The 17,567-nt window shown below is 37.6% G+C and overlaps 1 long non-coding RNA gene across 1 annotated transcript in view; it reads right to left on the bottom strand.

The window, feature by feature from the left end:
• Positions 1-1,068: 1,068 nt before the first annotated feature.
• LINC02512 (long intergenic non-protein coding RNA 2512) overlaps positions 1,069-17,567 on the bottom strand; it is a 56,319-nt gene continuing 39,820 nt past the window's right edge. The window contains exon 3 of the long non-coding RNA XR_001741530.1: positions 1,069-1,141. This is a non-coding gene — a long non-coding RNA (long intergenic non-protein coding RNA 2512). The remainder of the gene's footprint in view (positions 1,142-17,567) is intronic.

Raw genomic sequence — 17,567 nt, 5'->3', positions numbered from 1 at the left:
AAGAGAGATGTAGATTTCCCATAAATACCTCTCTCTCGGGAAAAGGTCATTGAGCCCAAGAAGAAGAAGGAACAAACTACCTTGTAAAACTCATCATTAAACTCAGTTTACTTAGTCCCACTGCACTATTTATGACAAGTCACTAAAATGTCAGCCTATTCCTCAGTGAAATGAGTCATTCTGTTTTACAGTTAAGCTTTTCCTTAAAATGTTTTTGGTGGGTAAGGTTTATAGGATACATAACAACTTTATTTTCTCGGTACCCAAAACATTTATAAAAACCCTGGAATATGCAAATAGCAGGTAAACAATAACACTTTTTAAGCAGTCTTTCATAAATTGATTTTAAAACATTTCTCCATAAAGGCACCAGGCAGGAAGCACTGTGTTCATTTCTTCCACAGTTACTCTAGGGTGCCCATTATTGGATGATGGGAGTGCTGAGTTAATGAGCCTTAGAATCACCTCTTGAACCAGCCTAGCTAACTTAACCAGATGCTTTCACAGCATCGGCTTTAAAAAATACCTTCACAGCAAACATCAATAATAATTTCAAGAAAAAATAATAGAAATGTCTTATAATAAATTGTTGGAAACACATCTGGTAGGCAAGTGATCTCAGCTAATTCATGCTAAAAATAAAATAAAGAAAATGAAAGAAAATTAAAACCCTCAGTGCTGCATCTCCAGGATAATGAAACATTAAGTAAGTGAAGGGTATTCCTGCCCCAGAGCTCTTTGTTTGACCAGTGTAGCAGAAGTTTTAGGCACTGGATACTTAGATAAGTCATGATATATGAAATGTGAAACAAGTGAAATCCCCAGCCTAGAAAACCACTCTAGGAGAAGGCAGGCAACAGCACATGGTGGATAATAAAAAGGCCAAAATCACTTTCATGTTTTTCAGCTGAAAAGAGCGGCAGTGTAAGTCCAGCCTCATTTTAGCATGCACTGTTGGGACTTGATCAGTTACCCTGATATAACCATGGATTGAATCCTGTTCTTAGATTAGCTCTCTGGCGAAGGAAGAAATACCAATTTTCGTCTTACCTGAAAAATGGGCTTTTCGTGTCACTGGGGATCTCATTATAAGGCAAACATTTTGCCGTTAAAGTTGCTGAATTAATTATAGGCACAAATCCTAAAGAGGAAAAAGATAAGTTAGGGACTTGGAGAACATGATGATGACACTGAGCTTTTCATACCCAAACCTATAAATCATCCAAATTATTAAAACTATGGAGGCTTTGTGAGTGTGACAACATAAAATAGTGCCAGAGTAAACTGCACATAAGCCTTGGAACTGTGGAATCAAGTTTCAGGGCATAGAGGAAGTACATCTATCATGAATCTCAGTTTCCCTGAGAATGAAAGATTTATATGATTCTTTTACTCTGAAACCTAAATAAAACTCTGCTTAAGAGTAAAATCAGTATAATAAATAAGTGTGACAGCAGAGTAATTGTTTCCTGGCTTATTGTCTACTTACTCATATTAATTTTATAATATTTTGTAGATTATTTCTTTACTCCATCTCAAAACTTTTAAGTCACAATGTTGCACTACTAGATCTTATTAAAATTCAAGATGAAATGCAAGGAGTCTCCTCAATCAATTTTTTATCCTTCTTCCTTGAAAATCCCTTACTTCACTATAGCACTTATTAAAATTTTCTGATATCTTACTCCAGTTCAGAAATTCCTCTGATCTCCTCACTCTTCTTTCACCTTTTGTTTTCTTTATCAGCATCCCCAGACTTTACCCAGACATGCAAACTTTGGAGACAGTCCAAAGGTGAGCAATAAATGTGATTAAGTGCTTGGGAAATAGGATGTATAAAGAAAGATGAAAGGCAATATTTTAGGTAAAAGAGAAAGCTGCTCTCAGAATATATTCAATAGTTTTCCAGAGCAAGGTCTTGAATTTCAATGACACTTACTTAGGTCTGATTCAAAAAATAAAAATGTAAGTAAAAATGCTAAAAGCCAATCCTCCAAAATTCACTTGCCTGGCATTTTTCCATTTTCCTCACAGCCTTTATCACATCTCTTGTATCTTACCTTCGTCGGGCTGCCTGTCATATCTACAGAATGCTGATGCTTTCGTTTTCTATATTATAGTCAAGGAGACATTTATATAGTAAAGAATTTATATTCTAGAACAGTGGTTCAATCAGAGGTGAATTTTGCCCCTCAGGGCGCATTTATCAACGTCTGGAGGCAGTTTCCCTTGTCACAACTGTAAATGAGGACACTGCCGGCATTTAGTTAGTAGAGGCCACAATGCTACTTAACTTTCTAGAATATGCAGAATAGTCTCCAATAACAAAAAATTATCCACTCCAAAATGTCAATAGTGCTGTGCCCTAGAAGCATTGGCAGGAAATATAAGGACTGGCTATGCTCTGTGTCACCAAAGCAGGCTACAACTCTTGAGCTAGGAGCCTTTCCATGCCTCCTGAAGAAGGTGAGAACACTTGGGTGGGGTTTCCTCAGTCACAGTTTCACCCAGGCTTTCCATGCAGCCTGCTCTCAAACCCTTCTCTATGGAACAGCTCCTCTCCATACAGGATGAGAACCCACTGCATGAGTGACCACATCCCTGGTTGGTAGTCTGCAATACTGTGTGTGTTGGATGGGGGCGGGGTCTTTTGCCAACACACAAATATTGGATATTTGAATCTGTAAATTGACTGTTTTATACTTAAATATAATGTCTATCTCAAGCTGCCATTACAGGCAGTTGCAAAAAAGCTTTATCTTAACTGAGGGAAAATTCAGTCAATTCTACATAAATATATACATAGTTCATCCCCTTACCTCTTCTCTGTGAGGGCTCTTTGCCTTTTCTCTTATATATTAGCTTCCCAGCTTCAGGAGAGGCATTTACCCTTGTTCAGCCTCTACCCTAACTGGCATCCCCTGGTGCGTGCTCCCACTCAGAGAATCTGATCCTATTGTCCATTCCTCACGGACCACTGTCCCTATCCATTCCAGTGTCCAGATCCCCTCTAGTCTACTTGTTCTCTGTCTCTCACACATTCTGTTGCTCTCTTACCCTCTCACTCTCTTTCTCAACTTACTTCCATGACTTTCTCAAGGGTATGGAGAGGCTCAGCTGCTCAGCTGCAGGAATCCTAGTAAAGATGTCTCCAGACCATTCTCTTCTTGATATCCCCTTTGGCCATCTTGAGTTGGCTGCTAACATACAACAGAAGCAGAGCCCCACCCAGGATACCAGACTGCAAGCAGAGACAGTCCTCACCTGCTCACAGACTTTCTAACACATCTGGAGCCTCTATAGTGTCCAGATTCAGATCCCCAGGTGCCCGGCTCCCTTTACAGATTCTCATTGGCAGTGATCATTTTGGTATGTTTTCCAACTTTCTTCTTTACCCCTCAATGGTATTTTTTCCAAGCATAGTGTTTAAGCCAGGACCTTGACCTTTGAAAGCAAGAAGGTCTTTGCTTCTCTCTGCATCACTGCCATGCTCTCTGTAGCTCCTACAGCAGTAGAAGCCGATTTCAGGTCTTCGGGTGTGGGTGTATGTGTGTGTCTGTGTGTGTAAGAGGGAAGGCAATAAGGTAAACAAAAGGACGTTAAGGAGCTAAATCACCTCACGTCTATTTGTTCTTCTTAATACTTTATAATGTCATCTTGCCACTGATAGCTAAAAACAGTTACGAAACATAATTGTTATTCTTGCTATTTCCTTTTCCTTTGTAAGTTGAAAAGAGTTTCTCAAAATTTCACACATTTTATATGGCCTATTTTATCACAGATTTAGATAAAAACTTAAAGTATAACTTCCTTCATGTCCTTAAAACCATTTATTTTTTCACCCTTTAAAAGAAAAGGCATTCTCAATTGAAACAATATAAATATTGGCTAGGTATTTTAGCCTTTGGTAGAACTCAACCCACCCACATGTATTTTATGCCTTGGGAAGATGGGATCTTAGATAATATGCACTCAAATTGGGCTTATCACATGCCAGGCCCTATTCCAAGTGTTTTATGTCTATTAGCTCATATAATCATCTGAGCCATTGTTATCTCCATTTGACAGATGAGAAAATTGAGACAACAGAAGTTAAGTCACTTGCCTGAGGTCACACAACTAGCAAGCAGGGGAGCAGGGATTTGAACCTACACCATCTTGTACCAGAAGCCAATGTCTCAAACCACGCATTACACTGTCAGCCTTTATTATGTGAGTTGAGGTTAAAAATGAATCATAAAAAGGCCATAGAACACAGCACCATGTTTACTGAAGGACATACATACGTGAAGTTTAAATGGGAATAGATTGTGATAAAAAAAATTTATGTCACTTCTGAAAATGAGAGTAATAAACCTTAGAGATCAAAGATCAGGATATGGGTCTTACAGTTTAGAGTCTCAGAGCAGAAAATTCAATCTTTCTTGGATTAAGCAAGAAGTATGATCAAGGCTTATAGACAGTTCACCAAATTCACTATTGTAAGAGAATACATATTGATTTAAAATACATATCAATATTACTATGGAACTAGTAATAAGATGGACATTTGCTTGACCATCTGCTGTACTAAGTTAATATCTCATGAGTCTAGGCAGGTAGTCAGCTGCTAGTCAAGATTCAGGGATTTGGTATGTCCCAATCTCTTTCTTTCAGGAGACACAACTAAGAGTTATTGATTTTTATGAACAACAGCAAAAAAAAAAAGCAGATAGAATGATTTTAAAAGAACCCTAAAAATCAGTTGGCTACTTCCATTGCTAATTCTTGGTATTTTTCTTTGACTCACTGTGAGTGATATCCTGAGATGCACAGTTTCTCCAGATTGATGATGACCCAATGCACGTAAATGTCACTGGAACAAAGGTGTGGAGTGTAAACTCAACACTTGACTAAAAGCTCTCTAATGACAGGGTGTTTTGTTTCCTGACACCTCCTGCAAACATTTCCCAAGCATTCACTCAACTTTTGCTGACTGCAGAAATCGTGAAGACCCCGGATAGGTGTGATGTGGAGACAAAGCAGCCCCGAGTCAGAGCCCACCCATGCCCAGAGGGGGCCTCTGATTTCTTTCTCCTTCCACGATAGGACATAAGGAGCTGTCTTAAGTGTTTTTGAACTAGGCCTGCTGAGCAGCTTTATCTCTCTTTATATAAAACTTTTCAGCAGAAAATTTAATCTAAAATTTAACTTTATCTACTGAACAAAATGAACCCCATAGATTTTATGTTATTATGTTGGGAACAAAACCTAGTTTTCTAGAACAATAAACATGGTAGACTTCTTTTCCACCTGCTTTAAACTGAAAAGAAAAGAAAAATTTCCCCTGTGAGATACCCATTGCCTTCCTTGGGCAAAGAGGCTAAATTTAATACAAATTATTTAACTATCCATATTCTAGTTATTTCCCTTATCTCCTTCCTAGGCCCTGTAAGCTTAGGATATAGCAGTTTTGCCTTCACTAGTTCAAACAGGTGACTTACATTTATATTCTTTATCTTTCTGTAAGAATCCCCACTGGTTGCTAAATATGTGGGCTCCCCTCTGATGCCTTTCCTATGGGACAAGCACTTATATCAGCAAGAAGGCAAACAACAGTAGCGGCTTCTTGGGCACTGCAGCAGCAGACAGCAGGTGGAAGAATATGGCTTGATTTGAATTGAACAGCACAGCAAAACTTTTGTGCCAAAAGCAGAGCCTGCAGTGGCTGAAATAGATTTTTTATCGAAATAGATATAAAACCTTAAATAAAAAGTGCTCCAAAGATTTTTTTATATGAAAATGACATCATGTATGGCTGTAAAACCTGGGAATATAAAGACTTGAATTGATGTGCTTGATTAAAATAATAAGAAACTTATTTCCTCCAAGGGATTCCTCTACTGTCACTATTGGTTTTGTACACCCTGCAGAGACCCAAATCGTAGTTAGGAGAAAAGGATACTGGCATTTCATTTAGAATACAGAAAGCAGAGCTTACAATGAACCCTACCAGGAGACAGAACACTCAGGCACACTTCACCTCACAGTTTCTTAAAAGGTTCAGCTCTGTTTGACTAGATAATTCCCAAAAGTCAGTTTGGCCACTTTAATGTTGTAGTCATAATTTCCATACTAACCCTACCCCCAGAAACCATCTTCTGAAAGGAAGGCATTAGAAGAAGGCTGGAACCACTAGACTTCAACCTGAGGACAACCTGATCTCAACAGGGAAGCCCACACTTCTTCCTTTGCATCAGGAAACCCATGGAGATTTCCATGGCTCGGTCACAGGAGCTCTACTAGGCGGTTAAGATGGATACTGTTAAGCAGTCTTGTGGCAATGCATCATTAGAATCATGTCCTTTTTCAACTGGGGACCTATTAACCCAGCTCCTAACTTCTTAATAATTTACTTGTCACTTTGGGAAATCTATTAAGTCACACTTTTGTTCTCTGTAAAATAAGAAAAGACAATGTATGTCCTTAACAGCCCAGGAATGGGAATAAAAAAGAAAATAAATGGGAAAAAGAATGCGGAAGAGTTGAGTCCCTATGAAATACAAAATGAGAGAATAAGGGACAATTCAGACATACTCCACTAGGAAAATGTCAACACTCAACAATGATCTAGCTAAATGTAAGCCCCCTGTACCTGTTCATGTGGAAAAAATCTCTAGTACTGAGAAGATTAGGCTAAATTCTGCTGACCACAATTCAATCTTTTGACATAACCTCTGTCTATTGACAACACAGTCGTATTTAAATATCAATATCTGTGATATAAGTTTCACACCATTTTGGAACCTTTTTAAATTCCTTAAATCCTTTGATAAGTTCTATCAAATCTTTCTTGATATTTTTTTCAGCCACTAAGACCTCACTACATCATTCTGTCTTCAGAGGCATGATGTTCAGTTTGAGAACATTTCTCCCTGGAATAAGTGTCATTTTTATAAGCTTTCAAAAGAAAATATCTGCTTAACAAAGATAGCGTCTATAAAAATATAAATATAGTTCCATCCCTTGTTCTACCCAAGCTATCTGCAAAACCACTCAAAAATATGGTGAAGCCATCAAAATTTTACTGAAGTGCAGCAAAATGCACACTCGAGTTAGTGATAGCCAGATGCCCATTTCTACCTAAGAATCCTGATTTGTCTTCAAAATTCAATGAAAGATTCACTTTTTTCCCACCATAAAAAAAAGTATACTTAAATTAGGTTTTGAAAAATGTGCAATATTTTAGGCAGCTGGCTACTTTCAAACTTATACTGTCACTTAGTCTAGCAAAGGTTTTATTGCGTGTTTGATTTTAAAATATCAGGATATTTTAAAAACTGATTTAATAATACACGATGAAATAATGTGTCCTGATAAATCCCTTGAAGAGCAATGAAAGAATGCATGACAGCTACCATTACGGACAGTATTTGAAAGACAGGAGAGATAGAAAGACTAATGTGTCCTTTCTTGCCACAAATTCCAAAATTCTTCTCAGCCCAGCAGTTCCCTGCCTTTCTTTAGAGCTCTGTGAAGACACTCAGCTCCTATTGCGTTTTATCTCACCAGCATCACAAGACAAGGATACCTCCTTTTCTTCAAAGCACACTCCAGTGTTTTTGGGCAATACTTGGATCCTTATAATTGTATTAATTTGTTATTTTCTTATAAATTTTAAAAATTTTATGTCTTTTTTGTTTCTCTGAAATTTTAACTTTTACTTCCAGCTACAAACACCTGTATAGTCATCTGCATCTACAGAATACCTCAACATTCTCTGAGACGTGAGTTTCAATTTCCATTCAAAAAATCGAAGGCAAACACAAATACCGGTTGAGCATTGCTGATCCAAAAATCCAACATTTGAAATGCTCCAGAATCTGAAACTTTTTGAGCAGTGACATGATGCCACAAGTGGAAAATTCCACAGTGGACCTCATGTGACAGGTTGAGTCTAAAAGTAGTCAAAACTTTATTTCATGAACAAAATTATTTAAAATATTATATTACCTTAAAGCCTTGTACATAAGATATATATATGAAACATAAATGTATTTTGTCTTTAGACTTTAGACATATTAGTCCTATCCCCAATATATCTCATTATGTATATGCAAATACTCCAATATCCCAAAAAAATTTGCAGTCAGAAACACTGTGGTCCCAAGCACTTCCAATATGGGATACTCAAACTATACAAAGAAAGACATTCTGATTGTATTGTATTTCTTCCCTGTCTGCCACTTTAGGTAGGAAGAATTGGATTGTGTAAAGTTTGTGGTTGGTTTAATATCATATAATAAGAATATAGACCACAGTAATGGAATACAGTGTGACAACAGCAATAATCAGTGGATGCATGTTATTGATCCTACTATTAGCAAAGATAACATTCTTATGTTAGTCAAAGTTCTAACTATGACCCTGGAAGGAAATGATGGTGTGCACTGAACAGTAATGAAAATTGTGACCCCAAGCTTAGCCAATACAAGTCAGCTTAGAATAGAGGTAGGAAGGTCTGTTCATTGCAACAACGTTTGTCCCAAGTAGATAAAGTGGATTGGGTTCATCAGTCTTGGGCAGAAGACAGAGTCAGACAGGATGTGGTCAAGATGACATGCATCTCACAGAGGGCTTAAGAACAAGTGATACATCTGTCAGGATTGAGGCAGATGAGCTCATGAGTAGGAGTCAGGATAAGGCCAACAGACAAAGTGGAAGGAAAGTTAATCAGCTGGAAAAAGTTAGATTCTAAAGAGCATTTAAGGAAGGCTCTGGAACCTAAGCCTAAGACAAACGGCATAGATTTCTCCCACTGCAGGAAGCTGCATCAATGAGAATTAAAGCAACTAATTTCTTTTATCTTGGTTTGCTCAGAAATTTCTGGTCTGGTCAGACTCAGTCTTAAGACATATATTATGTAATGATTCATACATAGGCTTATGAGGGCATATTTTAGTTGCTAGCTATGTGTGTATCCTCATTTACTCAGCAGTCTTTTGTTATCCAGTTAAAAGCATTGCAGCTTTCAAAAATACGTGGATGGGAGGTTGGTCCAATGGTATAAACACTGGGGTCACTGAAAACTAACTCATAATTCGTACTCTTTCTCATTTCTTCTGCTGTCATATCTGCTACTCATTTTTTTATTCTCTAGGAATATTTTGTCTTTCCAATTATGATTAAGAAATTGTGTATTAATCACTGACTCTGACTCTCTGTTCCAGTAATCCATCCTTGAAACACACCAGCTATTATCCTCCCCTGTCCTTCCACTCACTTGTTTCCCCCAACACATGATGTGGCTCCCAGGCTCCCAGGTCTCTGGATGTTGCCATTGCTGCCAGCCCAGGAAGGCTCAGTTAGGAGTGGGGCTTAGACAGATATAGATGTTAACACCAAACCACGGAAAACAATGGCTGGGAGTAAAGGAAAAGGCTTCAGAAACTGCCCAACACCGATGTTAAAGTAGCCTCGTGTGGTCAAGTGCCAGAAGAAGCAGCCTGAAAAATGTAAATATCCCATGTCAACCTCATCATACTACAAACGAGTGTGTTCTGTCTTAAAAGTGATATCTCTAAGGCATTTTAAGAACTTCCCAAAGGAAATAAATGAGTCAAAAGTAAGTTTTATGCTCCATTCTCCACAATCTCAGACACATGTAGGAACTCAATAATGAATTTCTGTTGGAGGAACAATAAACTAATTAATTAATTAATGGCAGATAAGCCACGTGTTAAACAAAGTAAATAATTCTTGCTCCAAGTGTCTACATAGCAACATCAGTATTCTCATTAAAAACCTTATCTATTTGAATGTTCCTAAATATTATTTTCTACAAAGAGGTGTAATCACTTTAAAAGAAGGCTATCTTTATCCAGTGCTGAATAATCTTTTGTCTGTGCTGTTTGTAAAGGAGGCCTTTTAAATAAATTGAAGAAGACAATTTCAAGCATATTAATAAGACAGCTACAAAAGTCCTTTGCATGTTTTTAAGTAGGTCAGTATATCATACTGCACTGGATTTTTACCCTTTGTTTGCTGGACCATGACAAGAAAGAATAAAAAGGCAGAGAATAAAGAACCTGGGAAGAGCAAATGGGCACTTACTCTTAAGTGTAGTAAGTAGTCATGACTTTCTTATTAAGTGGTGACAAATATAAATGAAATTTTATAATGAAAGAAAAGTATAATACAAGGATGAATTGAAGAGGAGAACGATTTCTATCAAGATGGGGATTTGTGTCTTAAATGATCAAGTAAAGAAATAGCTCAAAACACAGAGAAATGGAAACCCTGAAGTCTAGGAAACCTAACGGGCAAATGACAGGAGTTCTAGACTGCTTTTGTTCACATCCCCTAAATATACTATGCCCAAACATTTCCCATCTCATTTAATAGCAATTCTCACTTTCCAATTGCTCAGACCAAAACATTAGATCCTTGCTTGATTCCACTCTCTGTCATATCCCACGTAGAATTTATCATTAAATCCTATCCCATCTACTTTCAAAATTCTAATTTCTGAACCTGACCACTTGGCAGCAGCTCTGGCTGTTAGCACTGTTATCTATCCGGTGTTATCTCTTGCCTGGATATTCATGAAAGCTTGCAAGCTGTCTCTTCACTTTTACCCTTGCCAACCTACAGACGAGTCTATATCTGCCAGCCAGTGCTATCTTTTTAAAAATCAGTTCATGTCACTCTGCTGTTCAAAACCCTGTATCATTCAGAGTAAAAACCTGAGATGTTACCAACCACCCACAAGGCCCTAGGCAATCTCGTAGCTTTTATTTGTATGACCTCAACCTACCGCTCTATGCACTCCAGCCCATTCATGGCACTTCAAGGACCACTGGCCTCCTAGATATTGTTATGAACTAAATTGTGTCCCTCCAAAATTCATATGTTGATGTCCTAACCTGCACTACCTCAGAATGTGACCTTATTTGGAAATAGTGTCATTGCAGATGTAGTTAGTCAAGATGAAGTCACCATGGGGATAGGATGGGTCTTTAATCCAGTGTGACTGGTGGTGTCATAAAAAGGGGAAATTTGGGGCCAGGCACGGTGGCTCACGCCTGTAATCCCAGCACTTTGGGAGGCCAAGGAGGGCGGATCACGAGGTCAGAAGATCGAGACCATCCTGGCTAACATGGTGAAACCCCATCTCTACTAAAAATACAAAAAATTAGCCGGGCATGGTGGCAGGCATCTGTAGTCCCAGCTAGTTGGGAGGCTGAGGCAGGAGAATGGCATGAACCCAGGAGGTAGAGCTTGCAGTGAGCCGAGATCGTGACACTGCACTCCAGCCTGAGCGACAGAGCAAGACTCCGTCTCAAAAGGGGGGTGGGAAATTTCGATGCAAACACACCAACATGGAGAATGTCCTGCAACCATGAATACAGAGATTGGGATGATACACCTACAAGCCAAGGAAGGCCAAAGATTGCCACAAACCACCAGAAGTTAGGAGAGTGGCATGAACAGATTCTTCCTCACAGTCTCAGACAGAGCCAACCCTAAGGACACCTTGATGTTGGACTTCCAGCCTCCAGAACTGGGAGACTACACATTTCTGTTGTTTAAGCTATTCACTTTGTGGTGCTTTGTTATGGCAGCCCTAGCAAGCTAAAACATATTTCTGGGCACACTCTCAATGTTAGGGCTATTGCCCTGGTGGTTTTGCCAGATTCTGCTGAGAAGCCTGGAATGCATAAAGAACTCATGTGAATCAGAGATCTAATCTTCTTGCATCCACTGGAATCTTTAATTCATGCAGGCATGCTCATAGATGGCTGAGGTTTCCAGCAGCTATGTGGAGCCAGGGAACCCCTTGCCTCCAGGTGGAGGCACACCACATGACCTCCTGCATATCTAAATGTCTCAGTCAGAGCCAATATTCTTAAAGGAGCCTGCATCCTTGAACTGTGATGGCAAATCTCTGTCAAACACGTCACTATCAGGACATGTGACATTAGTTAAGTTAAAGAGGTTCTTCATTCCCTCAGCGATGACATAAAATTGTCATACATTAGACATGATACAAGTCTGGAGAGAAATATTTAAGTTATAATTTCCAAAGACAAGGAGAGAAAACAGGAAAGTTAGAAGGAAAGATAAGAAATGAGTCAAGTGTGAAAATACAAAATTATACATAGTTTGAACTTTGAAATAATGGTATAATTTTTAATCATTTTCTTAATCTTTTAATCATTAAAATTCTTATATACATAGTAACATTTCAGAGTATATGTTTTGGAAAATTGAGTTAGCCGACTTTCCTGTTTCTAGAGGGTGGATATGTCTTCTAAGACTTTTTTTAATGCCAGTGTATCTGAAATCTAAAATTTTTGAAACTTTCTAATTTTATTTTTTTAAAGGTTATAGTTGAATTGCATGTCACAATTTACAGGGAACTTTCTCACCTGTTATACTAGTTGAGACAATTGCCTGGCTACCAGAGGACCATTTCTTACATAATGTAAATTAAAATTGCTATAACATTACATTATTTTAGAAATAAATGTAAAATATTTAGTATAATACTAATGACTATCACAGATAGCTAATTTCAATATAATACTATTTTAAAGACTAACGTTCTATGATAATCACTCTTATTAAATAATTACCATTGGCTGTTTTAATTGTGTATATTCCTGATTTAATTTTAGCATGATTTGTAGAAATCTGGTAGTTAAGCATATATTTAATCCCTTAAAACATAATGCTCATTTGATTTAGCCATGAAAAATATTTTCATGTAGTATAAATTACTGTTTCTTTTACATTTCTTTCAATTATGACCAGTCATTTTTAATCTGCTATAAACATCAGTGCTGAAATAATAGATTAGATAAACACAGGTTGATGTTTTTTCATCTTCATCATTAAATATCCCAGATACAGTACATACGTCATGGGCCAAGGACCATTTCTTTTATATCTCCTCCAGCCTGTTGATATATCCTTGTCAGCACTTGGCAGTTTCACAACCTGGGTTTCGACTGGTATTTTCAGGGGGATGCCTGCAAGCTGCCTCATCATCACCAATGCCTCATCCAATAAGGCTGACCTAAGGACTAACTAATGTGAAAATTCAGCATATAAGGATGTGTATAGTTCCTCTGTCTCTCTCCTTCAAGCAGTTCTTTTTCAAAGTCTTGCCTTGAAAATCTAAGCCAGAGAGACAGAAGTGAAAACATGCCTCCTGATGATGCACACATGTGTAATGAGAATGTCTAAATATCATATTCAATTTTGTTTTTAGAGCTGGTGCAGTTCAAAGTCATCTATGCCACTGCAGTGTGCTGGTTTACCTAAGACTGCGTGGAGCTATCTGTCTTGAGGTTCTTTTCTACTGGAGGTGTGACTAGTTTTGCAATTATAGATTTTTGTCTATTTGGCTTAGTTCACGGATGGTATGGCACTATAGTGACCTGGGAAGGAAGGCGATGGGACAGTGACAGCCCTCATTTGTATCCATACGTGAGTCATAAACATCCATAAATCACCAAAACATCATAACCACCAAGCTGATGAATATAGCCTTAAAGCAGCGATCTCCCCGTAGCTGACTGTGGATGATTAACTAGTATGAATATGACATCTAAAAAAGAGAAGAAAAATAGAGACCACTTAAAGACTTACTAGCATGTAAGGAGGAACATAAAGTACAACAGAGAAAGAGACAAAATCAGAAAGTTCTGTTTTTATAATATTTTAGAAAATATTTTAATGGCCAAAATATCTTCAGAATAAATTATTTTTGAAGTCTTCTAATCTTAATACCAAAATGGTATTAAAAATTGCACCAGGAGCTTACAAAGGGCTTTTCATGTTATGTCACTTGGTAATATTTTCTTGTACATTAGGCTATTTTATAACATGAAAAAATATTACAATGTCAGAAAATTTCAGGTAAATTAAAAATTATTTTAGTAAAATGTTAATGAGACAACAATGTACATGTAATTACTTTTTTAAAGATTCTTATTCTTATATAGAGCAATTATAATTACTTTTGCAAATTATTTAATATTTAATATTTAAACATGCAGATGGAAAGATAAAGGTGCATAAAATATCTTTGGGACAAGGAAAATGTGAACTGAGAAAATAGGTAAACACACTCAAATTTTAAAGTGCCTACAATCTAACCAGGATCTAAAAAGGATAATAGAAGTATAAGGTAATCTATTCTTTATTCCTGCTTCTTATAGTCTTACCACAGAGAAATGGCTCACAGACGAATATAAAATAAAAAGCCCTCTTTGAGAGTGTTACCTTTTCAATACTATAGAATTTCAGAGGAGGATGACACTTTTAACTGAAATTTTTATGGAAAGTTTCACAGACCAGGGTTTTTGGACTACTTTCCTGCACCTAAATTCAGAACAATAAAGAGACAACAAAAACAAGGAGATTAAGGCAAATTTATACTTTTATTAAAGCAAAAGTCTAGACTACAGTATAGTTCATGTATGTGGCATCAATCAACTACCAAGTGCCACACATCAAAATTAGATGGATTGGAGAAGTGGAGCAAGATGGTAGAATGGAGCGTTCCACCGATCATCCCTCCCAGTAGGAAGACTAAGTTTGACAACTACCTACACAAAGGGAGCACATTCATAGGAACCAAAAATCAAGTACCAACTAGGTCACTGTGGGGTAGGGCACCAAGTGGACTCTTGGGGTTCTTGATTCCAGGCTCTGGCTCCCATTAGACAGCACTTCTTGACCTGCACTGGACTGGAGAGGAGCCCACTGTCATGAAGGGTGAGTCCCAGGCCTGGCAGAATTTACCACAAGCTGACTGGAGAGCCCTTGGGTGGTAACTGAATATCAGCGGTAGCCTAGTAGGCCCCCGTGGGCCTGTGATGATGGTGGCCGTGGGATGAAGCACCTCTGCCTGTGGAAGTGGAGGGAAGAGTGAGAAAGTCTGTGTCATGTGGTTTGAGTGTCAGTTCACCCACCATAGAATAGAGTGCAAGGTAGATTTCTAAGGTTTTGACTCCAGTCTTTGGGTACAAATGGCATCTCTGGACCTGCCCAGGGCCTGAGGGAAATCACCATCCTGATGAGAACAACACAAGACTGGCTGGCTCCACCATCTCTGATTGTAGATCCTTCCCAAGGATAACAGGCACATACAAGCCCAGATGGCAAACACTACAATAAATACCTAATCCTACAGTGTCCAGACACTACTTAACATCCACAATCATCAAGACCCTTCAGGAAAACATGGCCTCACTAAACAAACTAAATAAGGCACCAGGAAACAATCCTGGAGAAACTGAGATGTGTTGTCTTCCAGGTGGAGAATTTAAAATAGCTGTTTTGAGGAAACTCAAAGAAATTCAAGATAACACAGAGAAGGAATTCAAAATTCTATCAAAGAAATTGAACAAAGGGATTGAAATAATTATAAAGGATCAAACAGAAATTCTGGAGATGAAAAATGCAATGAATGTACTGAAGAATACATCAGAGTCACTTACTGGAAGAATTCATCAACCAGAAGAGAGAATTAGTGAGACTGAAGACAGGCTATTGGAAAATACACAGTCAGAGGAAACAAAAGAAAAAAGAATTAAAAAATGAAGCATGCCTACAAGACCCAGAAAATAGCCTCAAAAGGGAAAATATAAGAGTACTTAACCTTAAAGAGGAGGGAGGGAGGGAAGCAGAGAGGGAGGGAGGGCAGGAGGGAGAGTGAGAGATTGAGAGAGAGAGAGAGAAAGTTTATTCAAAGGAATAATAAGAGGGAACTTCCCAAACCTAGAGAACTATCTCAGTATTCAAGTACAAGAAGATTATAGAACACCAAGCAGATTTAACCCAAAGAAGACTACCTCAAGACATTTAATAAACTCCCAAAGGTCAAGGATGAAGAAAGGATCATAAAAGAATCAAGAGAAAAGAAAGAACTAACATACAGTGAAGCTCCAATATATCTGGCAGTGGACTTTTCAGTGGAAACCTTAGAGGACAGGAGAGAGTGGCATGACATATTTAAAGTGCTGAAGTTAAAAAAAAGTCACCCTAGAATACCATATCTGGCAAAAACCTACTTTAAACGTAAAGGAGAAACAAAGACTTTCCCAGACAAACAAAAGCTGAGGTATTTCATCAACACTAGACCTGTCCTACAGGAAATGATAAAAAAGAGCCCTTTGTTTAGAAAGAAAAGGATGCTAAGGAGCAATATGAAATCATCTGAAGGTAAAAAACTCACTGGCAATAGTAAGTACACAGAAAATCACACTCTTATAATCACACACTATTATAACACTCTTCTTGTGGTATGTAAAATACTCAAGTAGAAAGATTGAAAGATAAACCAATCAAAAATAACTACAACAACTCTTCAAGACATAAGCAGTAAAATAATATATAAATAGAAACAATAAGTTATGGATCGGGGGACAAAGTTAAAGTACAGAATTTTTATTAGTGTTCTATTTGCATTTTTGTTTGTTTATTCAAGTAGTTTTAAGTTGCTATCTGATTAAAATAATGGGTTAAAAGACAGTATTTGCAAACCTCATGGTAATCTCAAACCAAAAAACATACAATAGACACACAAAAACTAAAAAACAAGACACTACATCATATAACCAGAAAAAATCATTGTCGCTAGAAGAAGACAAGAATGAAAGAAAGAAGAAAGAGAAGACCACAAAACAACCTGAAAACAAATAACAAAATGGCAGGAATAAGTCCTTATTCATCAATAATAACATTGAATGTAAATCAAACCTAACTCTCCAACATAAAGATATAGAGTGGCTGAAAAAAAAAAAGAAGAAGAAGAAAGATCCAGTGACCTGTTGCCTACAGAAAACACACTTCACCTATAAGGACACACATAGGCTGAAAATAAAGGGAAGGAAAAACATATTCCACACCAAAGGAAACTAAAGAAAAAAGAGCAGGAGTTGCTATACTTATATCAGACAAAATAGATTTTAAATCCAAAGCTATAAGAAGAGACAAAGAAGATCATTATATAATGATAAAGGGGTCAATTTAGCAAGATGATAGAACAATTGTAAATATATATTCACCCAATACTGGAGCACCTGGATATATAAAATAAATATTATTAGAGCTATAGATGGAGATAGATTCCAATCTAATAATAGCTGGAGACTTCAACATCCCATTTTCAACAGTAGAAATACACTCCAGACAGAAACAAGAAAGAAACATTGGACTTAATCTGCACTATAAACCAAATGGACCTAAAATATATTTACAGAACATTTCATTTAATTGTTGCAGAATATACGTTTTTTCCTCATCCCATGAATCATTCTCAAAGATAGACCATGTGTTAGGTCTTAAAACATTCCAAAAAAATCCTGGCATGGTGGCTCACACCTGTAATCGCAGCACTTTGGGAGGCCAGGCAGGCAGATCACAAGGTCAGGAGATCAAGACCATCCTGGCTAACATGGTGAAATCCCGTCTCTACTAAAAATACAAAAAAAAAAAAAAAAATTAGCCGGGCATGGTGGCGGGTACCTGTAGTCCCAGCTACTCAGGAGGCTGAGGTGGGAGAATGGTGTGAA

This window comes from Homo sapiens, chromosome 4 (genome assembly GCF_000001405.40).
Source record: "Homo sapiens chromosome 4, GRCh38.p14 Primary Assembly".
Lineage (NCBI taxonomy): Eukaryota > Metazoa > Chordata > Mammalia > Primates > Hominidae > Homo > Homo sapiens.
The sequence above is the reverse complement of the archived record's forward strand: the minus strand, read 5'-3'. Positions and strand labels throughout refer to the sequence as shown.